Below are 26,052 nucleotides of genomic sequence, written 5' to 3' on the forward strand. Positions count from 1 at the left end.
AGTAGGACTTTAAACAAACGCTTTAAGGGCTCAGTTTCTCACTTAGACAGCAAAAGCAAGAAGAGGACCAACTCCCTGTGTCCCTTGTCCTAGAGGACAACACAAAACCTGCAGGAACAAGGTGACTGCGATCCGAGTGCTGTTGCGCCCCACTGCTGAGGAGCTGATCTCAGGCTGCAGCGAATCAGTTTCGTAGCCTGCAGCTGTGCCCTTAGACAGGGTGAGGCAGAAAGCCTCCCATCTCCTAAGCACCCAGAAGGCAGTGAGAAACATCTAGTGACAGCCTCCTGGGTGGATAGAGGGGTGAGTGGCCAATGGCCTTGTAGTAGCACCTCCCAAGCCTCCCACACTCTCATGCTCAGAGAGGATCACAGGTCACTCTTCCAGGACTGAGATCAGCCGTGGTCCAGCCTTGCCTATGTGGCCCATGTGGAGATGTGCAAGGTCACCGGGGTGCTGTGGTGGAGCCTGTCCTCTGCACTCCCCTCCTGACTTTGAGAAGTTAAATAGCTAGTAAGGGAGAGGAGACATCTGTACATGATATGGCAGGAGGACAGTTCTGAAGCAACTAGTATCTCACGGATAATGACCTAAGAGCCCAGGATGCTCAGAAAAAAAGAGAGGTCCTACGAGGCTGAGGTTTTCCAGGGCCACAAAACAGCCAAGGGAGGGGCAGAGCCTGGCGCATACCCTGCCTGACAGCTCCTCCGCACCTCACCCTCACTAGCTCCTTGCAGCCTAGTACTCCAAGGGGGCCTTGGGGTGCTCCCATTTTGCTACCAACCCTAGAGGACATCTAGGACAGCTAGGCTGAAGGCTCCCCTGTGTGCAGCCCTGCAGTCCCACTTTCCCTACTCCTAGCTCATTCCAGAAGGCTTTCATTATTATTTCCAAGTCTAAGAAAGTCTTCTGGAATAATGAAACTGACCTGCTTCTAATCTGAATCAAAGCTACAATGAGAACTCAAGTGAGTTGGATCGCAGCAGGTCTCAGAAGCTTCTAATCTGGGGCCCCCACTCATGGTTTTGTCTAAGGTTGGAGTCAAAGAAGAGGCATTACTTGTTCTTTGCTCAGCAAGAGGGAGCTTATCCTCTCTCCCACCAGTGTCAGTTTCTGCCTGAAATGTGAGTGGTTTCCCCTGGCTAGATGAAAAGGAGCCACCTACAAAAATTTGTGTTTCTCAAGGAAGTGGCTTTCCAGAGGCTCCTCCCCCACAGTCTTGCCTGAAAATTGCTACTTGGACAGAATCTTTCTATTCTACATCCTTTCTTGTGGCTGTAATTGACCCATTTCTATCACAGCACCTACAACATGTTATTCTGTTTATTGGCATCCCTGTCTCTCTGTTCTAATATGCTTGAGCTCCTTGGAGAAGGCTCTGTGTCTTCTTCCATCTATCCCCACCTGGTTCAGTGTCTGGCACATCTTAAGGATTGACAAATATTTATTAAATAAATGATGTATGAACAAATGAATGGACGATCAGTGTCCCAGCCCTCTTCCAGGACTCCTCCTATTCCTTAGCACTGAGGCAGCAGAGTCCAGCCCAGGGTACTTGTCTTTTGTTTTTAGTAGTGGCCACCAGGCTCAGAAATTTACCTGCAGAGGACTCAGCAACCACTTTCCAACAACAAGGCCACTGCAATAAGACGCAGAGCATCCCATGCTGCCAAGATGGCTCTTCGCCTACTTCATCTCTTTTAATTTTCACAATGGTTTTGAGATAAGCATTACTGTCCTCGGATTTCCAGATGAGGAGCTAAGGCCCAGAGAGGCTACATGAGATCACCCATTAGTGGGCAGAGGGTAGATTCCACCCCAGAGCTCTCTGCATAACTCCCTACAGCTGTCTCCCTGTGTCGGCCCTGGACAGAATTCAGAGAGCTGGCAACAGAGCTGGCTGGGGGACAGGAGAGAAATCTGATCCTTCAGGCCACATCTCCATGTCTCTATAGGATATAAAGAAATGGGACTGATACAACATGAAAGCTTGGATGGTATAAAGTAACCCAGTCAACTCTCTGGGCATGAAATAACCGGGTGAATAGAACAACATAATTATTTATTGCCTACAGAGCTGATCCGAATTTTTTTTTGAAGATTGCTAAAGAGTGGTTGCAGGCAGCAGTAAGACAGCAATTGCTGCGAGACACTTGTCTCTGCTAAGGAGGCAGCAGCTGCGACTGTCACTCAGCCTCGGCACTCACATCCCACAGTGTAAGGAAAGACACCTTAGAATGCAGCTACACACACACATATATATATATTTTTGCAAACCACTATTTCCTGTTTTGTTCTCTATTTATACTTTACATTTAGTTTTGAGAAAGCGCTGGTGGTTTGGTGTTTGGGTTGTTTCTAGTTCAATCTTTATCTATAAAGCAAATTCTCTTTTCAAGATGATTTTTTGTAATATAAACCAACAGTATAGCTAGATTCCTTTCACATACTTTGCTAATAAAAATTCTTACAACTTCAACAATAAAGCAACAAGATTCAAATAACACAAATCACAACTCTCCAAGTCGGCACCTTGCCAAGTAGGAATCCATTCACCAGTCTTGCGGGGGTGGGGTTGTGAATTCTTCAAGGAATTCCAACAGACATTTTCACACAGATTTTCAGGCATATAGATGCTCATCCTGAAGTACAGAAATGTGTAACTATGATACCTTCATATGATACTCTTTGGAAAACACTGAAGTATCTAAAACACTTTGTTACTGCTATGTAATGACACATAGCAACCCAATGTTTGCCCTCCAAGAACTGTCTAAGAAAGATACCACCTCGGACCCAGGGAACAATCAGCAGAAAATAAACATGAAAACAGCACCAGGACCAATGCCTTCACCTCTTGTGCAGGTCAAGGAAAGATGCATTTAGAGGTAAAAGGCAAGAGCAAGTGCACAGTTATCGTGAAATTGATTTTGTTTCTCCACATTTGGTAGCTGAAAGCTTTGCTTCCCCAATAGACAAGGACCATGTTTCTGCAAGGACCAGGAAAGCTGGCTTTGCATTGCAGTGGGCAGTAAGCAGAATAGCAGAGTGACTCTTGGGTATCAGTGTCCTGCCCTGTCAAACGGAGACTTCAGTACTTGCCAGAGCCATGTCACCAGGCTGCCATAAGGATCCCATGAGAAAATGACCATGAGATCCTGTCATAATTGGTAAACCCTGTGTGATACAAATTACTATTCTTCCTGGGTAATTATTTTCTTTTGTTCTCTTTGTAGAGAACAGAGAGTCAATAGAAACTCTATTTCCAACCATCTTGTTTGCAGTGTCCCTAAAGGCAACATAAAGACAGATCATTTCTTTTTATTTGCCAAGCAAAAGAAATACACCCATCCAGACAATGCGACATTCCTCATCTTTTTCTACAGAGCATCACGTTAGTCTTGTCTCCCATCTAGATGATGCCCATCTCATGGGGGTGAAGCTGCTACCAACACCCTGGTATTAGGGAGGGTTTTAGAGCTCTCTAGAAAGCTGTGAGCCAGGGAGGAAGGCTAGGGTACTGGTGGTGCCTGACACTGTCGCCATCATTGTATGTACAGTCACTACACACCGGTTTATTCTCCCCTCTTATTTCACAAAGAAAAAGCCCAGGGTCTTCAAATACTAGGAAAGTAAAATGTCACCAGGTCTGAGAACAGAATGGGTGAAAGAGTGGGGGCTGGAGCAAGGAGCATAGGAAAACTCTCCCCCAGTGTGTGTTTCCCTGACTTACAGGAAAGAAGACAAAATGCAGCCTAATTTGCTTCTGGTCACCAAGTATCACAAAGGCTTCTCAGCTGTCCTGATAGGCACAGTCCCAGCGTTGCTCCACCAGGGACACTGTGGGCAGGTCACTACTTCTCTGGCCCATGTCCCTCAGTGGCCACTCTTACACAGCCTGTTGGTTCCGCAGGCTTCACAAGTACTGCAAGACCAAGGTCAAAAGCGAATTCTTAACCCTCAAAGGGAAGTACTGGCCAGAAGTGGACTATTCTCTTTCTCTCCTCAATCATCCCTTCAATCATTTGACAATATTTTCTGGGGACCTAGAGTGGCCAGACACTAAGCAGAGCACAGGGACGTGAAGATGAACCCAGAAAGATCCCTTCCTTGGATGTTTGTGGGTAGACGGGAGGGAAGCGGAGCACCTCTGGTCATCACATCTCCTCTGAGTCCCAGCCCATCCTGCCTCCCCACTGCCCCGCATAAACACAGGTCCCTTTCCAGGCGGGTTCCTCTGGCATGTTGTGGTGTGCAGACAGCGCACGGCTGAATTCCCTATGTCCTGCGTCGTTGACACACAGCTTCTCCATCGCAGTCTCCCAGAATCGAGGAGCCTAGGATACATGGGCAGGTCACACAGGAAGAAACAGCCACCACACACACTTAGTCCAGACAAAGACAGTGGCCAATAATCACAAACACAGAATCTCTGGAGACCAGGCCTGCCGGCCCACAGCAAAACCACCAGATTCATCTCTGAGTCGTCCCTGAACAAGTCCTCCTTCCCTCAGAGCACCACACCTGTGGAAGGGAGGATTCCCAGCCTTGGTGGCCTCTCCCCTCACACTCATGTCCCCCGGGCTGTGGGCACTGATCCTGACACACACCACTGCACACAGGGCCCAGCTCACAGGACCAGCAAAGCAACAAATAGTGGGTGAATAAATGAATTAATAAAACGTACATACATGCATATATTATTTTATTAAATTCTCACTACAAGACTTTAAGGCAAATATTATTACGTACTCCCACCGTATAGATGGAGAGTCTGTCAAATCTATACAGATGACAGCTCAGGAAGGCTCCAGATCTTGTGAAAAGTGGCACAAGTCCAGTCTAGTCCAGCCTTTCAGCACTGGCACCTGGTCAACGAGAGGTTAGCTGCTGAGAGATCCAAGAAGTTTCATCTCCCAGCGCTTCTGTTTCTAGCTGGAGGTGGGTGGGAGATGTTGCATTTTACCAGCTGACTTCTCAAGATCAAAAAGCCAGGAAGCTTTGCAATCACCCTGAGACAAGTCAACAGTAGTATTACCATGGACAATATCTTGCCTGGTGAAAATCTATGTGACCTCTTGGGGCTTTGCATACAGTGAATCCTCCGCCAATATGGTTTGATTGACTCATAGAAAGAAAGGGGGAGAGAGAGCAATACAATGATACAATTGAGGACTTCCACTTCTTAGTTGCAAAAAGAAAGGTCAGAAAAGGAAAAATAACAACACTTTTTTCCTGCTTTCTCTCCCTCGGGGGTTAGCCAGCAAACAGGGGCTTACCGGATTATTTTCTAGGTCTTCTCCCCTTCGCAAAGGTCTCCTGGGGCCATGCAACAGCCGTTAAGTCAATTCTTAATTAGCTTTCACAGTTTACCTTTTGAAAATCCATATCTGTATGAATATTTATTGGACGCTTACTAAATGCAAGGCATTTGTCCCAGGCCCTGAAGATACAAAGGGATGTCAAACAAGCGTGCAAACAGAAAGGCACACACAGCATCAGGAATGGCCAGACGAGGACAACCATCCACACCTACTGCAGGAACCAACAAGTCCCACAAAGGTCAAAGCACCAAACAGGCCAGGCATGGTGGCTCATGTCTGTAATCCCAGCACTTTGGAAGGCTAAGGCGGACGGATCACGGGAGGTCAGGAGTTCGAGACCAGACTGGCCAACATGGTGAAACCCTGTATCTACTAAAAATACAAAAATTAGCCAGACATGGTGGTGCATGCCTGTAGTCCCAGCTACTCAGGAGGCTGAGGCAGGAGAATTGCTTGAACCCAGGAGGCGGAGGTTGCAGTGAGTGGACATTGCACCATTGCACTCCAGCCTGGTCAGCAGAGCAAGACTCCGTCTAAAAAAAAAAAAAAAAGCACTGAACAAGCCCAGGGTCACTAAAAATAGAGGCAACAGGGATGTGTCATTAGGCTAATTCTTAATTTCCAGAGCAAGAAGAACAGGGATGGAATTAGCCTACTGCTTAAAGTATACTGGAGGTTAGCAAGTGACAGGGAGACTCCCAAAATGCCTCAGGACTATTTAGTTTCAGTTTAGGACAGAAAAGAGAAGGGTCTCAAACTGGAGATGGCAGACGCATGCTAAGAAATTGGTCTGCAGGAGGGGTAGAGATAGTGACGGCAGCTCATCACTTTAATGAGCCCAAATCTCTCTCAGTGCAGACAAAACTCAGCCTCAAGTGCAGCAGGAGTTTACAGATAGAGTCTCAGAGTGGCCACTGGAAAATGTCTGAGAAACCTAGGAAAGAAGGGAAGTACTGGAAGAGCAGAGAAGGGCATATTTTATCCCAATTTCCAAAAGAGGTTGGATTTGGGATGTGAATAATCAGAGAACTGATTATTAAACAAGCTAGTAACACTTATTAAAGAATGTGGTAATTACTGATATTGGAACATTGTCTCCCTAAGAGCAAATTACTGTACTTTAAAGTTTAAGGCTTCAGGCTGGGCACAGTGGCTCATGCCTGTAATCCCAGCACTTTGTGAAGCCAAGGCAGAAAGATCACTTGAGCCCTGGAGTTCGGGACCAGCCTGGGCAACATGGCAAAACCCCATCTCTACTTAAAATATAAAAATTAGCTGAGCGTGGTGGCTCGTGCCTGTAATCCCAGTCCCAGCTACTCAGGAGGCTGAGGCAGGAGGATCTTTTGAGCCCCAGGAGGTAGGGGATGCAGTAAGACATTGATCTAACCACTGCGCTCCAGCCTGGGTGACAGAGTGAGACCCCGTCTCAAAAACAGGCAAACAAAAACAAATAAAGTTTAAGGCTTCACCTAACTAGATTTACTTTGGGGGAAGGGGAGGGGAACAAATAGGTGGGAAATCAGAGGACTGCTATAATCATGGGCCATCTTGATTGCAAAGTATTTGATAAAATTTCCCGAGATTATTTCATGGATCAGATAGGAACACGTGAGCAGAAGGATAACACTGTTGGGTAGAATCGTAACTAATGAGACACCACCCAGGATCCTGGTTGCATGATTGATGACAGCACCAACCTGCAGATGATCTCCAGTGGCATGCCACAGGTCTCTAGTTTTAGTTCTATTCTACCCAATAACATGAATGAAGATTTGGAAGGCAGGCCTATCATCAGATAAGCAAACAACATAAGTTTGAGAGGGATGGCTAATGTTACAGATTTCAGGATTGCAATTCAGAAAATTTTAGTTAGGTAGACCAAATCAATCAGACGAAAACTTTATAAGGTAAAAGGGGGCCGGGCGTTGTGGTTCACGCCTGTAATCCCAGCACTTTAGGAGGCCGAGGCAGGCGGATCACCAGGTCAGCAGTTTGAGACCAGCCTGGCCAACATGGTGAAACCCCATCTCTACTAAAAATACAAAAAAATTAGCTGGGTATGCTGGTGCATGCCTGTAGTCCCAGCTATTCGGGAAGCTGAGGCAGGAGAATCGCTACAATCTGGGAGGCAGAGGTTGCAGTGAGCTGAGATCCCACCACTGCGCTCCAGCCTGGTGACAGGGAGAGACTCTGTCTCAAAAAAAAAAAAAGATAAAAAGGATAAAATATCACCCCCAAATGTACCAAAGAGACTTGACAGGAAAGCCTTGCTATTTGAAAAAGATTTGAGAATATTGCTAATGACAAACCTCACTTAGATTTTGGTGTGGGCCATTTTATCAAAAAGCTAATGGGAATATAGATTGTATAGGATCCAGATCAAGGGAAACAATAACAAATTATCTACAATATCTGGAGTTTTCCACTTGCTTCTGGGGGTAAGAACTAAGACAAATATTGAATCCAAAAGGAGGAAGGAGAAAGGCATATAAAACTTTCATCTGGGGAACAGTCTAAATAACTGAAGGGAGTTAGCTTGGACAGAGACGGCTGATTCCATGTGGCAGCACAAGGTGGAGGCACAATGTGGTCGGCAGCCCCCAGAAATGACCCCCAATGATCCCCATCTCCTGTGTAGCCCTCTCTCCCCCTGTATGAAGGGTGAGGGTATCCAGCTATGAAATTATTAATTCAGAGGATGATTACTCAGAATTCTTGCTAAGACCCGGTCTAACTTAAAAACAGGAAAGCAGTAATTAATGTTCTTTGTTACCTCAGCAGCAACAAGAGCTAAATGAGATACCAGGTATCACAGCCAGTGGGTATTTATTCTACAGACAGGAAGCCCCTGCATGCACATGAGACACAGAACCAATAACTGGGAAGCGTACAGGACAAACAAATGCTTAAAACAAGCTGAACACCTGCAGAACAGGACCTGTTGGTTCATTCTCACTGTTCTAGAAGTGTGTATTTCTCAGTGTGAATCCAGTGGAATCCTGTTCTTTCTGCTTTCATTCTTTCTGTCGCTTCTTTATAAGGTGAGAGTTGCTCTTTTCTTCCTGAGGCAGATCCTAAACTCTAAGAAGCCCAATTTGGTAAGGATATTACAGCCTATTGAAATAACAAGGGAGCCGGGCACATTGGCTCACGCCTGTAATCCCAGCATTTGAGAGGCTGAGGTGAGTGGATCGCTTGAGCCCTGGAGTTTAAGACCAGCCTGGGCAACATGGTGAAACCCCATCTGTACCAAAAATACAAAATAGCTGGGTATAGTGGCATGCACCTGTGGTACCAGCTACTCAGGAGGCTGAGGTGGAAGGATTGCTTGAGCCTGGGAGGTTTCAGTGAGCCAAGATCACACCACTGCACTCCAGCCTGGGCGACAGAGTGTGAGACCCTGTCTCAAAACAAAACTAAACTAAACTAAAAAAACAAGCAAACAAAAAGAAGAAGAAGGCCAGTATAGAAAAAGAAAAATATCTTCTTCATCCCAACCATCAATCTCTCTTATTATGGTCTTATCATCAGTCTCTTGTGATATTTCATAACAAGTTTTCAAAAAGTATCTTTGCTATGGACCCAAGGGGCAGAGGTAGTCAATTAAGATGAAACCAAAAGATGTGATCACAGCAGAGTGACTGTTACAAAGAAGGTGCTCAATAGATGCTTATTGAATTGGTTTGCACTGGATTGGATTGAATTAAACAGATTAAAATGGAAATGCTCAGGATGAGACATTTAATAAACTTTCATCTAATTGAACTGGGCTGGCCAAATAAATCATGATAAATTCATATCCTGGAATATAATTTCCTCCTTTAGAAACAATCATTCCCTGGTCCCAAAGCAGCCTGGAGGGGCACATTCGGGCTTCTCTATGTACTAACAAGGAAATGTCTTCAGAATGTATTAGTCTGGTGGAAAACACTAATAAGAAGTAGCCAGTGATTATGTACAGTTATTTCACTTGTATGTTATCCAAACTGTATACAAGAAAGAACATATTATATGTATACGTATGTATATGTGTGTGTGTCTATATATATATATGCACATATATATATAATTTTTAGAGCACGTTTTGTTCAGTTTATTGATTCAAATCTACCTGAGTGTGCGAGGCAGATGGTTGAATACTTACTTCGATAACCTAGCTGAGTAGCATATGTGTTAGTTTCCTAACACTATCATAATGACCACAAACTTGGTGGCTTGGAACAACAAAATTTATTTTCTAACAGGCCAGAAGTCTGAAATCAAGGTGCCAGCAGGATTGATTCCTTCTTGGGGCACTGAGGGAGGATCTGAGAATCTGTTTCCTGTCCCTTTCCTAGCCTCTGGTATTTGGCCAGCAACTACATCACTCCAGTCCCTTCCTCCATGGCCTCATGACCTTATTCTCTCTCTATGTGTCTCTGTATCACCACATGGCCTTCTTATAATGACACTAGTCATTGGATTTACAGCCCACCTTAATTTATGACCTCATCTTAACCAATTATGTCAGCAAAGGTTCCATTTCCAAATAAGTTCACCTTCTGAGTTTCTAGGTGGACATGAATGTTGGGAGGGACACTATTCAACCCTGTACAAATAGTATACATCAACCTTTCAATTGGGGAAAATGCTGCCTTTTATCTTATTAGGTATAGTGGTGTGTTAATTAACTCATAAATTTAAAGCAGTCTTTTGCTGTCATTTAAAAGCATTTTTCTTGCTATATCCTTGGGGAAGATGAAGAAAATCTAATAGCCCTTCTTGTAATATTGCCATTTTTTTTAACCTCCCTGCTAATTTGTGCAACTAAAGTTTTCCCTGTAAATTTAGATTTTTTCCAATTTAAAATATTTTTCTTAATTGCAGTATAATTTACCTACAGTCAATTTCATAGGTCTTAAAAGTACAGTTTGAGTTTTGAGTTTTGACAAATGTATACACCAACGTAACTCATTCCCTAATCAAAATATAGAACATTTTCATCACCTTAGAAATATTCTTTTTTTTTCTTTGAGATGGAGTCTTGCCCTGTCTCCCAGGCTTGAGTGCAATGGCGTGATCTCAGCTCACTGCAACCTCCACTTCCCGGGTTCAAGTGATTCTCCTGCCTCAGCCTCCCAAGTAGCTGGGGTTACAGGCGCGCACCACCACACCTGGCTAATTTTTTTTATCTTTAGTAGAGATGGTGTTTCACCATGTGGGCCAGGCTGGTCTCAAACTGCTCACCTCATGATCCACCTGCCTTGGCCTCCCAAAGTGCTGGGATTACAGGCTGGAGCCACCGCGCCCAGCCAGAAAGGTTCTTTATGCCTCTTCTCTGTCAGTCCTACTCTTCCAACGGCAGATACTATTCTATCACCATAGATTAGTTTTGTCCATTCTTAAGTTTTACATAAATAGAATCATATAATGTATACCCTTTTGCATCTGGCTTTGTTAGCTCATAATTATATTTGTAAGTATACCAGCAGTTCATTTCTTTTTATTGCTGAATAGTAGACCATTTTATGTGAATATGCCACAATTTGTTAATTCATTCACCTGTTGATGGACTTCCTATTGTTTCCAGTTTTAAGCTATTTTGAAAAATATCTGCCAGAAACATTTCTCTACAAGTCTTTTGTGGACATATGTTTTTATTTTCCTGGATAATTACCTGGGAGTGGAATTGTTGGTTCGTAGGGTAGGTTATGTTTAACTTTATAAAGAACTGCCAATTTTCCAATGGTTATACCATTTTCACTCCCAGCAATGTAAGAGAGGGCCAGTTGCTCCATATCCTGACCGAAATTGGAGCTGTCAGTCTTTCATTTTAGCAATTCTAGTGGGTGGAATTTAATTTGCAATTCCTGTATTATTAGAGATGCTGAGCCCGTTTTTATGTGTATATTGGCTATTTACATATCTTCTGTTTGAAATGGCTGTTCAAGTCTTTTGCCCAAATTTTATGGGGTTGTTTGCCTCTTACATTATTGAGCTGTAGGAGTTCTTTATATATTCTAGAGACAAGTCCCATGACAAATATAAGTACTGAAAACCTCTCTCCCAGTCTGTGGCTTATCTATTCACTCTCTAAATACAGTCTTTTAATAAGCAAAAGTTTTAAATGTTTGAAGTTCAAGATAGCAACCTTTTGTTTTATGATTAGTGGTTTCTCTGCCCTTTCTAAGAAATGTTTCCCACCCCAAGATCATGAAGATATTGTCTTGTGTTTTCTTCTAATTTTTTGTTGTTGTACTTATCACATTACAAGTTATCACATTATTTTGTTGTTGTACTTATCACATTATCACACAATAATTCATGGTAATTATTGTGTATGATGTGAGATAAGGCTGAGGGTTCACTCTTTCCGCATATGGATATAGAGTCATCCCAACATCATTTGTTTGAAAGACATTTCTGTCCTCATTGAATTCCTTTGGCACCTTTGTCAAAATAAATGAACCTCATGAATCTATTTCTGAACGCTTGATTCTGTTTTATTGATGTTTTTGTTTATACTTATGCCAATTCCAAACTCTCTTGGTTACTATAACTTTATAGTAAGTCTTGAAATCATGTAGTATAAATTCTCCAACTTTATTTTCCTTTTTCAAGATTGTTTTGTAATTTGCATTTGAATTTCCATATAAGTGCAAAAAACCTGCTGGCATTTTCATTAGGAATGCATTGAATTCATTTTGGAAAGAATTGAAAATTTAACAATATTGAGTCTTACAATCCATACATATGGTATATCTCTCCATTTACTTAAGACTTCTTGAGTTTGTCTTAGAAATATATGTGCAGGTTTTGGTGTAGACGTCTTGCACATTTTGTTAAATTAATCACTAAGTCTATTTGGGTTTTTGATGTTATTGTGAGTAGTACTTTTACTTCATTTTCCAGTTAATTGTTGCTTTTACACGGAAATACAATTGATTTTTGTACAATGACTTTGTATACGACTAGTAAACTACTTCTAAGTGACCATATATAGTAAGGCTTTTTGTACATTCCTTTAGATTTACTATATACATAATCATATCGTTTGTGAATTAAAAATCATACTTCTTTGCAATCATTTTGCCTTTTAATTTTTTAAATTTCTTTTCTTGCCTTGTTACAGTGGTTGGAAATCCAGGATAATGCTGCATATAAGTGGTGAGAAAGGACATCCATGCTTGTTCCTGATTTTAGCTTAAATTTTAAAAATATTTAAAGTATGATGTTATCTTTAGGTATTCATAGATGCTCTTTATCAAATTGAGAAACTTTCTTCTATTCTTAGTATCCTAAGAGGTTTTTTTAATCGTGAACAGACATTAAATTTTGCAAATGCATTGTCTACATCTATTGAGATGATCATATAATTTCTATCATTTATTCTGTTATGCAGAATTACACTGATGGATTTAGAATGCTAAACAAGCTTGCATTCCTGAAGTAAACTCCAGTAGACTATGACATACTATCCATTTTATGAGTTGATGAATTTTATTTGTTAATAATTTCTTAAGGATTTTTGCATATACATGCATGAAGGATATTGGTTTACAATTTTCTTTTCTTATAGTATCCTTGTCAAGTTTGATGACAGGATTATGGTGGCCTCAAAGCAATAACAAAGAAATCAGAAGTGTTTCCTCTGTCTCTGTTTTCTCAAAGAGCATATATAAGATATATTATTTCTCCCTCAAGTATTTGATAGAATTCATACAGAAGTCATCTGAGTCTGAAAGTCTTTTTATGGAAAAGTTTTTAATTATAAATTCATTTTTTTAATATAGAAGGCTTTTCTGGTTTTCTATTTCATCTTATGTCAGATTTGGTCAGTTGTGTTTTTCAAAAAATTTGTTGTGAATTTATTAACATAAATTGTTCATAATACTTCCTTGTTATTATGTTAATATTCTTAGTGATGTAGAGATGCCTCCTCTTTCATTCCTCTGCTGGTAATCTGCATTTTTCTTTCTTTTTCTTGATCAATCTTGCTTGGGGTTATCAATCTTATTTATTGATCTGTTCAAAGAACTTTTGATTTGCCAATATTTCTCTATTGTCTGATTTTTAGTCTATTGATTTTTGTTCTTAATTTGATTGCTTCCTTTTTTTTACTTTGGACTTAATTTACTCCTCTTTCTCTAGCTTCTTAAGGTAGAAGCCTAAATAATTGCTTGTAGACCTTTTCCTTTTCTAATGTGAATATTTAAAACCACAAATTCCCCTCTACTCGTCCCTTTAGTCACATCCAACACATTTTAGTATGCTGAGCTTTCTTTTCTGTTTTCATCAGTTCGAAATATTTTCTAATTTTCCTGGTGATTTCTTCCTTAACCCAAGGGTTATTTGGTAGTATGTTTTAATTTCTACATATTTGGGGTTTTCCTGACGTTTCTGCTATTGACTTCTAAAACACTCTGTATGATCTCAGTCCTTTGAAATGTATTGAGACTTGTTTTATGGCCCAGCTTATTGTCTATGTTGGTGAATGTTCCATGTGCATTTGAAAAGAAGGTGTATTCTGTAGTTCTATAGTGTTCTATAAATACCTATTAGTTAAGTTAGTTGATAGTGCTTTTCAAATCCTCTATACCCTTGTAAGTATTTCAGTTGTTCTGTCAGTTACTAAAACTGCAGTGTTAAAATCTGCAACCATAATTGTGAAATTGCCTATTTGTCCCTTTATTTCTGTATGTTTTTGCTACATGTATTTTGAAGCTCTGTTATTATAGTACAAATACATTAAGAGTTTCATATCTTCTTGATGATTTGACTCTTTTATTATTATGAGTGTCCCTCTTTATTTCTGATAAAACTGCTTGTCTTTAAGTCTACTTTGTATGATATTGCTATAGTCACTCCCTCTTTCTTATGATGAATGTTTGCACAGTATCTTTTATTGATCTCTTACTTGTAAACTACCTGCAATTTTATATAAAAAGTCTGTCTCTTGTAGCCAACATAGTTGGATCTTGTTTTTGTTATTCAGTCTGATAATCTCTGCCTTTTAATATGTGTTTGCTCCATTTATATTTTATGTAATTATTGATAGACAATAGACTTGAGTTTAAGTCTACCATCTTTCTATTTGTTTAGTTTTGTCCTTTTTTCTCTTTTCCTGCCTTCTTTTGAATTAGTTTTTTTATAATTTCTTTTCATCTCTGCTTTTTGCCTGTAAATCATTGCTTTCTTTCTTGGCTCAATTTCACTTATACTTTGTTCTTCAGTGGCTAATCTGTTGCTAACCCCATCCAGTGATTTTTATGTCTTATATTGTATTTTTCAGTTCTAGAATTTCAATTTCTACTTGTTTTTATCTTTAGAGTTTCCATTTCTTTTCTAAAATATCCATCTCTTTTCCTTAAATTATTTAACATATTTAAAATAGTTGTTTTAAAGCCCATTATCTGATGATTGCAATATCTAGGTCCACTGTGGATATGTTCCTTTTTTTTTTTTTCTAGTATTGAATCCACAGTGGGAATGTGGTTTTTTGTTTTGTTTTGTTGTTTTGAGATGGGGGGGTCTGAATTTGTTCCCCATGCTGGTCTTGAACTCCTGGGTTCAAGCCATCCTCCCCCCTCAGCCTCCCGAGTAGTTGGAATAGACTATAGGCACACACCACTGCCCTCAGCATGGATATGCTCCTATTGTCTATATTTTTCTTGACCATGGGTAACATTTTCCGCCTTCTTTACATGTCTAATTAAACAAAAATTAAACTCCAAAAATTGTGTTAACAGTGGATAATGTAACATACTAATTTTTTTGCTTGGTTTTATTTATTTCCCAGAATCGCAAGCCCTTTTCTCTATCTAGGGGCTATTCAAATTTGCCTACAATTGAGTTGAACTAGTGCTGAGCTGCAGCTTTATTTAGATTGAGTTTACCTGTTGTTTGCCCAATACCCAACCAGTCTCATCTATTTTTTGTTTACCTTTGAATTCAACTCCTGCAGGAGTCCCAGGATGCAAAAACCAGAAGAATGTTGGAAAAGATGTGATTTTTATCTACCTATTAGCCTTTCCTTCACTGGTCCTTTCTCAGCAAAATTCAGAAAGGGGGAGGTTTGGGGTATTTTAAAAATGAATTTGTGTTTTTTGTGTATGTGTTTTGTGCCACTTAAGAATTTATTGCTTTTCAGCAACAAATCCATCTTTCTTTCCCCCTCTCTGTTATACTGGGGCCCAATTCTACAGACATTACTTCTTTGCCAGTTGGCTTAATGTTAGGTCCTGTCAATAGAGGGCATTGGAGACACATTGCAAGTCTGGAAGAGGAAAAAAGGACTTTTTCTTCTTCCAGTGTTGTATTTTTCTACTTGGTGGCAAGTAGATCAATAAGCAAGGGTCCTGGCAGTGTTAAACAGAGGAGGACAGTTATTTGATTTGGGAGCAAGTGCTCCCCAATATCAGTCAACTTGCCCTGTCCATTGACAAGAGTCCGAATCTTAACCTTGCAGGGGCTCCCCTCTTCCAAGTTTCTGCGTTCCTTCATCATTTACTTTTCTTTGAACTTTCAGAGTAGTTACTGATCTCTGCATTTACTACTTTAAGAGTTTTTTATATTAAAACTTCCCTATTCCAATTGCCAATGTGGTTTATGTCTTCTGACTGAACCAGAGGGTCCTTCAGATTCCAGTCCCTTCTAGTAGCACATGCTGTTATGTAAAGCCCAACCGATTTCTCCTTGTAAATTCTCTGTCTATGGTAAGCCCACTCTTCCATTGCAGACCCAGGTCACACTCTCACTGTTCTCCAGACAGCACTATCTTTATACACACGATTCCCAACTCCTGTAATCCCTTCCCCACCTCCCTTTTCTGGCTAGGTACATACGAAGTCATCCTCCCAGATGGCTCAGAGGGCGTCTCCTTGGCGAGACTCCAGTCCTCCACCCACCTATGCCTGCCTACCTGCCCCCCACCCCAGGTATGGAACCTATAACTCTGCTAATCCTACAATGAGCTCATTTCTCTCCAGAATAGAGTCCATCGAGATTTTTTTGTGTCCATTACTTTTCACTAGTCTCATAGAAAAGTATGGTTTTAATTTCTCCAGGTTTTTCCCAAGTCCAAATGTCTTTCACATCCTTCTACATCCTAACTGGAAGCAGAAGCTTCTAGGTATTCTTACATATGCAAAGTTCCTGGAAGGATATGTTGCTGACAGGGCGTATGACTGAGAAATGTGGAATGGGGGTTAGCACATGGAGGGTGGAGACAGAAATTCTGACTTTTGACTACAGTCTTCATTATTCATTTCTTTTTTTTTTTCCTGAGACCGAGCCTTGCTCTGTCACCCACGCTGGATCTCGGCTCACCACAACCTCCGCCTCCCAGGTTCAAGTGATTCTCCCGCCTCAGCCTCCCGAGTAGCTGGGATTACAGACACCCGCTACCACACCTGGCTAATTTTTTTTTTTTTGTATTTTTAGTAGAGACAGGGTTTCACCATGTTAGCCAGGATGGTCTCGATCTCCTAGCCTCATGATCTGCCCGCCTCTGTCTCCCAAAGTGCTGGGATTACAGGCGTGAGCCACTGCACCCGGCCTATTCATTTCTTTACTCAACAAATATTTCTCAAGTGCCTCCTACGTGCCAGTGTTCTGAGCACTGAGGATACAGTACGAGCAACAACAAAAAGTCACTGTTCTCACGGAACTTATATTCGTGAGAGACAGACAATAAACAACCAAATGATATGCAGCAAGTCAGGTGATGATAAATATTACAAGAATAAATTAGATTAAGGGGGATAGAGCATGATGGCAGTGAGCATGTTATTTGACATTGATGGTCCAGTCTCACTAAGGTATGTTTGAGCAGAGACTTCAAGGAACTTAAAGCTATGGGCATATGGGAGTGAAAAACATTCCAGGCAGAGAAAACAGCAAGTGCAAAAGTCCTGTGGTGGACAGTTCAAAGACAGTCAGGAGCCCAGGGTATTGGGTGCAGAGTGACAGAGGGAAGGCGGGGTAGGAAATGGTGTGGGAGAGAGGTGGGGGCAGAGCATAGAGTGTCTTTCAGGCCACTTAAGAGCATTGGCTCGAGGGAGGGAGGGAGGAAGGAAGGAAGGAAGGAAGGAAGGAAGGAAGGAAGGAAGGAAGGAAGGAAGGAAAGAAAATTGGAAAGGCTCCTCCTCTCCCTCTCCCTCCTCTCCCTCTCCCTCCCCCTCCTCTCCCTCTCCCTCCTCTCCCTCTCCCTCTCCCCCTCCCTCTCCCTCTCCCCACGGTCTCCCTCTCCCTCTCTTTCCACGGTCTCCCCCTGATGCCGAGCCAAAGCTGGACTGTACTGCTGCCATCTCGGCTCACTGCAACCTCCCTGCCTGATTCTCCTGCCTCAGCCTGCCGAGTGCCTGCGATTGCAGTCGCGCGCCGCCACGCCTGACTGGTTTTCGTATTTTTTTGGTGGAGACGGGTTTTCGCTGTGTTGGCCGGGCTGGTCTCCAGCTCCTAACCGCGAGTGATCCGCCAGCCTCGGCCTCCCGAGGTGCCGGGATGGCAGACGGAGTCGCGTTCACTCAGTGCTCAATGGTGCCCAGGCTGGAGTGCAGTGGCGTGATCTCGGCTCGCTACAACTTCCACCTCCCAGCTGCCTGCCTTGGCCCAGCAAAGTGCCGAGATTGCGCCTTTGCCCGGCCGCCACCCCATCTGGGAAGTGAGGAGCGTCTCTGCCTGGCCGCCCATCGTCTGAGATGTGGGGAGCGCCTCTGCCCGGCCGCCCTGTCTGAGAAGTGAGGAGACCCTCTGCCTGGCAACCGCCCCATCTGTGAAGTGAGGAGCCCCTCCGCCCGGCAGCCACTTTGTCTGGGAAGTGAGGAGCGTCTCCGCCCGGCAGCCACCCCGTCTGGGAGGGAGGTGGGGGTCAGCCCCTCGCCCGGCCAGCCGCCCCATCCGGGAGGGAGGTGGGGGGGTCAGCCCCCCGCCCGGCCAGCCGCCCGGTCCGGGAGGTGAGGGGCGCCTCTGCCCGGCCGCCCCTACTGGGAAGTGAGGAGCCCCTCTGCCCGGCCACCACCCCGTCTGGGAGGTGTACTCAACAGCTCATTGAGAACGGGCCATGATGACAATGGCGGTTTTGTGGAATAGAAACGGGGGAAAGGTGGGGAAAAGATTGAGAAATCGGATGGTTGCCATGTCTGTGTAGAAAGAGGTAGACATGGGAGACTTTTCATTTTGTTCTGTACTAAGAAAAATTCTTCTGCCTTGGGATCCTGTTGATCTGTGACCTTACCCCCAACCCTGTGCTCTCTGAAACATGTGCTGTGTCCACTCAGGGTTGAATGGATTAAGGGTGGTGCAAGATGTGCTTTGTCAAACAGATGCTTGAAGGCAGCATGCTGGTTAAGAGTCATCACCACTCCCTAATCTCAAGTACCCAGGGACACAAACACTGCGGAAGGCCGCAGGGTCCTCTGCCTAGGAAAACCAGAGACCTTTGTTCACTTGTTTATCTGCTGACCCTCCCTCCACTATTGTCCTGTGACCCTGCCAAATCCCCCTCTGCGAGAAACACCCAAGAATGATCAATAACAAAAAAAAAAAGAAAAAGAAAAAAAAAAAAAAAGAGCATTGGCTCTTTTTCTGAGCAAGATGTGGAGTCACTGGGCATTTCTGAGCTGAGCAGAAATGTGATCTGACTCATTTAAAAAGGCTCACTCTGGCTGCTAGTTGGAGAGCACAGCTTTGTGAATTCTGTACTAATTTGCTAATTTACATTTTAAACATGAAACGTGTGTGTGTGTGCACAACTTGTACAACTCAAAAATATAATTAAAGAAAAAGGTCTGCTACAAAATAAGCCCTGGCAGGATGCCCATAGTTACTGGAGGCCAGGCCCCAAGGCCAGGCCCCCTTGGGAAGGCAAGATGGGATCCAGGTCTCCATTCTCAATTTTAATTTCAGCCTTTCAGATGCAGGGTGCCCAAAGGAGAGTCTGGAGGGGCCAGGAGAGAATGTGGGCCAGAATCAAATTGCAATATGTTGCAATTTGCATTCCAAGTATATCTAATTTTCAGAATCAAAACACAATATTTTATACCTATGTGTATATATGTACAGACACACACACCTATTTAATTTTTAAATATGGCTTAGCTCTCCAAACATCTTCTCCTAGCAGCAGAGAATATTATCCAGTTGTCCCTTTTTAAAAATCTCTGGAAAGGATAAAGTGTGGCAGCCAGAGCTGGGCTCACACCTGTAAACCCAGCACAACTGGGAAGCCAAGGCGGAAGGATTGCTTGAGCCTAGGAGTTTGAGACCAGCCTGGGCAACATAGTGAGACTCTACAAAAATTAAAAAATTAGCCAGGCGTGATGGTGTGCCCCTGTGGTCCCAGCTGCTTGGGAGGCTGAGGCAGGAGGATCTCTCGAGGCCTGGAGCTCAAGGCTGCAATGAGCTGTGTTCGCACCACTGTACTCCAGCTTGAGCAACAGAGTGAGACCCTGTCTCAAAACTAAACAAATAAAGTGGCAGCCAGACCCCAAATGAGGGCTTTACACAGTCAGTCAACTCAGCTCATCCTCACAATAAGCCTGTGCTGGAGGCATTCCTACCTATTTTGCAGGTGAGGAAAAAATGGCTATAGGAAGCAAAAAGAGGGATCAGTAGGCTTGAGGCAGGAAGTGAGTACTGGAGAGTTAGGGGTGTGGAGCAGGCATGGGGTGGCTGTCAAGGGTGGTGCCATCAAAACCATATGGCCCCCAAATCTGAAATGTTCTCTATTTGGCCCTTTATAGAAAATGTTTGCTAACCCCTCTACTACACCATCAGCTCCATGAAGGCTAGGATCACACCCTACTTATCTTTTATTCTAAGACAGTGCCTAAAATACAGGGATAACAAAGTCTAAATGAATAAATGAGAAAACATCAGATATCATCTTTTTTAGTGGCATGCTTATTCTCACTAATTGTGAGGAGGACTGAGATTGTGGCCTTTTGAAAGCATCACGTCCTTCCATTTTCATACCCCCATTTAAATGAAAGTGAAGGATGGCAGCCACTGCTGAAATACTTAATACACCTGAAATCCTGACACTGGCCTGATTTTATGGGCCCTGGTGTTTCTGTTACATGAAAGCTGTCAAACTACACTTGAAAAACCCAATTACACCCAGACTCAGCCAAAGCCACATTTTCAACTTGACTCTGTGTTTTTAGAACTATAAATTTTCCAACTTAGCTCAGCGAAGAGTGACGTAAAGTTGTACATATGTGGTGAGCTGTTTTATAGGCCCTCAGATCTAAGAGCACAAAGCAGCTGTAATACTGGCAATGAGGCCTGATGAGAAACCAGCCTGGTTCTGAAATACAATATTCCTAATTATAATAAGAACAATGACATTGAAATTTGACAGACATTACCTCTGAAGAGAGCCAGGATGGACTGGGGAGTCACAGAGCCTGGGAGCCAAGGGATTGTCATGGAGGCCACGGTTATGAGTTCTTAAGCCATATATTCCCATCAAGCTCAGAGAAGTGGCTAAGGAGACACCACTTCTCTTCCCTTGTTTCCTCATTGAATAAGATAGGATTTACCACGGGGCCAGGTGATGCCACAGAGGCACCTGTGCCAACTGCCTTCTACTTTTCCCACACAACAAAGGTCCAGAAAGCTTCCAACTTAAGAGTCCCTTCTCAACTCAAGGACAATCAAAACAGAGATTTCCCCCCCCCCAATAAACAATGAGCAAGGGCTCAGCCTGACAATCCATATTGTATTCAGAATGTTCAGCACATGCTCATCTGCTCCTCATAGCAACCTGTACAGGCTTCCTGGAGGAGGTGATCCTTGAAGGGCAGGAAGCCCACTTCTGGCCCTTTGGACATTCATCTGACTTTGTGTCTCTGCACATCGGGGTGAATTGTTCCATGTGCCCTGCCTATCCTCGATGCTTAATAATTATGTGTCGGGCTCACTAATTAACAAATATAAGTAACGCCACCAACCGGTTTCTACTTCTCCACTGACATGTTGAGATCTATCAGCCACTACCCAGAGCATAGTGGGGATTCTGCTCCTTAATGCTGGCCTCTGGTGGGCCCACTACTCTGCACCGGGCCTTCCAGGACTTAGCATTGGGCCTCCAAAGCCGGCACTGGACCATCACAGAAGTGGCTGGCTTTGAGTATTTAGTCCCCAACCCAACCTTGCATTGGGCCCCTTACCTCCAAATAATCCCGCCATCTCCCACTGGAGCTCCCACCCCAGCCCCAGGACTCATGGTGAAAGAGGTGAGGATGGAGGTTTAGTGTGGATGGACATGGCCATTCCCAAAGCTGCATCACTGACCCAAGGGCAGCTGCCATCTGTTTCTCTAGATTCTTGGCTGTTTGCCCACATGGTGCCTGCAGCTGGGCAGAGCTTCAGGCCCCACCCCATGAGAATGAACCGCCTGCCCGCTGGCAGAGTTGGCTCCCTCCACCCTGGGCTCAGGTGCTCCTGTGCATGAAATAGCTGGCAGCACCAGGGTAGGGAGAGGAGGGAAATTTAAATGAGTCTTAAGGGACTGGAAAAATAATTTGATGAAATGTTCCTAAGCTTTTTTTTTTTTTTTTTGGCTTAATACCCATAAATTGCAGGGGCCATGTGTGCTAACAGCTTTTGATTTATGATGCCTTTATTGTTGCATTGTATTTAAGCCAGATGATGAAAAGGTAGCAAGAGTAAAAAGACCCTTTTACAAAATGCTTTGGGATCCATCATGGGGTCAAGCCATTTCTGTCAATCTTTGCCACCACTTTGTTAAAGCAAGGGCTCTGGGCACTGACAGCTGAGTAGCTAATTGCTGTTGGACGCCAGCCCACCAGGCATCTTCCTCCTCTCCTTAGAAATTTTGCACTCCCTCCCCCAGGTCCCTTCCTCTAGCAAGACCTTTTAATGGCCGCTGAGGGCCAGGAGGGAAGCTCGCCATGGGTAAACTTTGAGGGGCCAGGTCTTATCCAGCTGCCACAGCACAGAGTTATTCCCAGGACCTCTAATTAAAATGCCTACAGTCCAACCAATATGCTCCTGTTTCATTGCTCAGGGGTTACAAAGCTCCCAGCAAATGCTGAACACAAATTAACAAAACGCTGGGTCAGCCTTTCTGGTCCCATTACAATGTTATTGTCATATTTATTAGCACAATTCCCTGTAGGACACTGGTAGAAATATCTAAAAAGTGAGTTAGGCACTCTCCTTGACTATATGGGGAAAATGCCTGCCATTTCCCCGCAGAGCACATAAACTTTGTTTGCAATTTGTGCTCACAGCAACTCCCAGCCGAAGACAATCCATTCCTGTTCTTGTACGGAAAGGGGGCTATGTTCTCTCAAACTGTAATTATCTTCTATTCACGCTACTGTAAAATGACTAGGTTGTTGCCACTGCTTTTATTTCAAAGAACAGTTCTATTATCCGTTTACAAAATTTAACAACCTACAGCACTTCCATGAATTAATTACAGTCTGAGGGGAGCATAAACACAAACTTCACTGATCACGTTGTTCTAAATCACATTAGCCTAATTGCTTGATATTAGGAATTGAGTTGACTTTTGCACATCTCGCCCAATTACTCCCCACCCTTTGTGTCTGTCTGACTGCCTGCTTCTGCACTCCTCTGCAGGGGATGGGATGTATTTTCCCCAGAGTCAGAGGAAAGCCAAAGGGGGAAAAAACCTCTTTGGAATGTTTCACAAGGAAGGAAAGATATGTTACTATGACAACTTGTTCTTGGCAACCACAATGACATACACCCCAAAACCTTCCGTCTTCCTCCTTGCCCATCAGAAAGATATTATCAAATCATGCAGCAAGAGAAGGTGAAGGTTCTAAACACTATATATAAAGATGGCACCAAGGCAGTCTGTGTGGGGAGCCAGGGTCCCAGGAGTCAAGTGAAGAGTGCTGGTTTGTTTTTTGTTTTTGTTTTTGTTTTTGTTTTTTCCTGGAGAGATGGGGGTCTCACCATATTGCCCAGGCTGGTCTCAAACTCCTGGCCTCAAGTGATCCTCCCACCGCGGCCTCCCAGAGTGCTGGGATTACAAGCATGAACCACCATGCCCAGCCTAGAGTGCTGTCTTGAAGGACATACAGAACTTCATCACATGCAGAAGTGAGAAAAGAGAACTCCAGGACATGGGAAGAGAAAATGGGAAAAACACAGAGGCTTTGAGAATGTTCAGGGAAGGGCAAAAGGCTCATGTGGCCTTTTTCATTTCTATTTTTGCATATGTTTTATAATGTGCATAATGCATTAATGTAGTATGTATATAATCTATCAATATACATATGTTGGGGATGTGTACTCAAGAATATTTTAATAATTAAGTAATTATAAATAACATATATGTGTATTGGGATGATTTAACAGAGAACACAGGCAAAACATTTGGCAACCATCAGTGTGAGCAATGGAATCTATCTGAGATTATTAAGCACTAGAGTGAGTACATCAGTGCTATGGTTTGAATGATAGTGTCCCCTCCAAAATTCATGTTGAAATGTAACTCACAATGCAACAGTATTTACAGGCGTGGCTTCTGGGAGATGATTAGTCATGAGAGCAGATCCCTTAGTGTCCTTATCAAAGGGCTTGAGGGTGAAGGGAGCACTCTCTTGCCCTTCCATCCCTTCTGCCATGTAAGGACACTGCATTTGTCCCCTCTAGAGGATGCAGCAACAAGGCACTGTCTTGTAAGCAGACAGCAGCGCTTTCAGCCACCAGTCCTGCTGGCACCTTGGTCTAGGACTTCCCAGCCTTCAGAACCTTGAGAAATCAATTTCTATTGTTTCTAAATTACCCAGTCTGATGTATTTTGTCATAGCAACACAAATGGAGTAAGACTATCAGAACTGCATCTTATAAAGATAAACTTGGTGCAACGTATGAAGCGGGTTAAAGGGAGGAGAAAATATAGGCAGAGAAGCAGGGCAGGAGGCCATCATGGTGGTCCCTGTGAAGGGTGCTAATGAGAGTCTGAGGAAGGGCCACCAAGGGGTAGATGGAGAAAGGGAGAATGCAGAAAACTTTTTTGAAAGTAACATCCATCAGGACCTGTTTCCCAATTGGAAGGCATGGGGTAAGGAGAGTTTGGGATTCTAAAACTGTTATCTTGGATAGCTGGGGAAGCAGTGATACCTTCAATGAAGACAGAATAAAGGAGAAGGGGAAGATATGGGGAAGGGAGCAATGATGAGTCCAGTTTTGGAAACGTTGAGTTCAGGATGCCTGTGGAACAGGTAGGTGGAGATGTCCATTAAAACAGTTGAAATTCAAAACCAGAACGCAGGTAGCCTAGTCGAGGAAGCCCTCAAGTGCCTAACCCCTCACATAATTATGCACCTCTCTCTCTCTCTCTACCGACATCTGTAATCCCAGCACTTTGGGAGACGGAGGTGGGAGGATTGCCTATTTTTCTTGATTGCATTTTGTGTTTCCTGGTGTTCTCTACATTCATCGATCCCTCTGAAAAACCTGTGGGCGTCTCTCTGTGCCAGGCACTGTGCTCATGTGGTCAGGGGAGAGGGCAGTTAGCAAACAGAGAGAGGCTGGCTGCTCGTGAGCAGATAGAGAAGAGCCCTGGTGCTGGCCACTGTGAGCATCAGCCTCTGTCCTGGAGGCTCACACAATCTTGGGAGCTGTGAAGAAGAGGAGTCTGTGGCTATTAGGTAAGAAGTCCAACTCCAAGGGTGCCCAGGCTCGCTCTTCTCACTCTGGCCCTCCCCACACTGCCTGCCATACTGGGTAGGGCCCAGAATCACCTGGAAATCTTCAGTCAAGGGGCATCAAGTGACATGTGGATAGAGAATGCCACCAGCAAAGCCCCAGGAAAATCACTGGTCCTAGGCAGGTTTGTTTGCTGGTGCCTCCTCTCATCGCTTGGGATATACTTTGTGAAGTTGCACCACTGTGGGCAGGAAAAAGGCAGAGAGGGGCGTTGAGTGGGAGCCAGAAAGGAAGAGATAGGTGGAGATTCCAGTTCTTCTTTAAAAGGGATCTGGAGACATCAGATCATCTCCTCTGCCCTGGGGTAGAGTTGAAACCTTCCTGAAGTCCCTTGGCTATCTGGAGTGAGTACAGCAGGAATGTGAGTGGCCTAAAATTTAAAGAAACTGTAGATGTTTGGTAAGTAATAATAGGCCATTATGAAACATATTTACCATTGATCGCTTATAGGGAAATAGATTAAACTGTCAGATGAAATCTTAAAATAAACACTGTTATAAATTGAATTGTTCCCCCCAACCCCAAAAATCATATATTGAAGTCGTAACTCCCAATGTGAAATGTAATTGGAGATAGGCTATTTTATCTTTTTATAGAGATGGGGGTCTCACTATGTTTCCCAGGCTGGTCTACTCCAGGGCTCAAGCAATCATCCCACCTCATCCTCCCGAAGTGCTGGGATTACACATGTGAACCCCCACTCCCTGCCTGGAGATAGAGCTTTTAAAGAGATACTTAAGCCTAAATGAGGTATTATAATAAGGATGGGGCCCTAATCCAATAGGGCTGGTGTCTTTATAAGTAAGAGACATCAGGAGTGGAAGCATAACAAGGAAAGGCCACATAAGGACAGTGAGAAGGCAGCCACGTGCAAGGCAAGGAGAGAGGGCTCAGAGAAACAAGAGCCACTGGCACCTTGATCTTAGACTTCTAGCTTTCAGAACTGTTAGAAAATAAATTTCTTCTGTGTAAGCCACCCAGTCTGCAGGATTTTGTTATGGCAGCCCTAGCAAACTGATACAGCACTATA

At 43.5% G+C, this 26,052-nt stretch overlaps 1 protein-coding gene across 8 annotated transcripts in view; it reads right to left on the minus strand.

Moving 5' to 3' along the window:
- Positions 1 to 26,052, minus strand: part of SCML4 (Scm polycomb group protein like 4) — a 143,885-nt gene that overhangs the window by 83,056 nt on the left and 34,777 nt on the right. Inside the window, exon 1 of one of the 8 annotated variants that reach the window (XM_047418597.1) lies at positions 20,675 to 23,246. The exons of the other annotated variants lie outside the window; for them this stretch is intronic. Coding sequence (XP_047274553.1) covers positions 20,675 to 20,735 — 61 coding nt within the window. The 5' untranslated portion in view covers positions 20,736 to 23,246. Of the gene's footprint in view, positions 1 to 20,674; positions 23,247 to 26,052 lie in introns of those variants that run through there. 8 annotated transcript variants of the gene reach the window in all.

Source organism: Homo sapiens, chromosome 6 (assembly GCF_000001405.40).
Source record: "Homo sapiens chromosome 6, GRCh38.p14 Primary Assembly".
Taxonomy (NCBI): domain Eukaryota; kingdom Metazoa; phylum Chordata; class Mammalia; order Primates; family Hominidae; genus Homo; species Homo sapiens.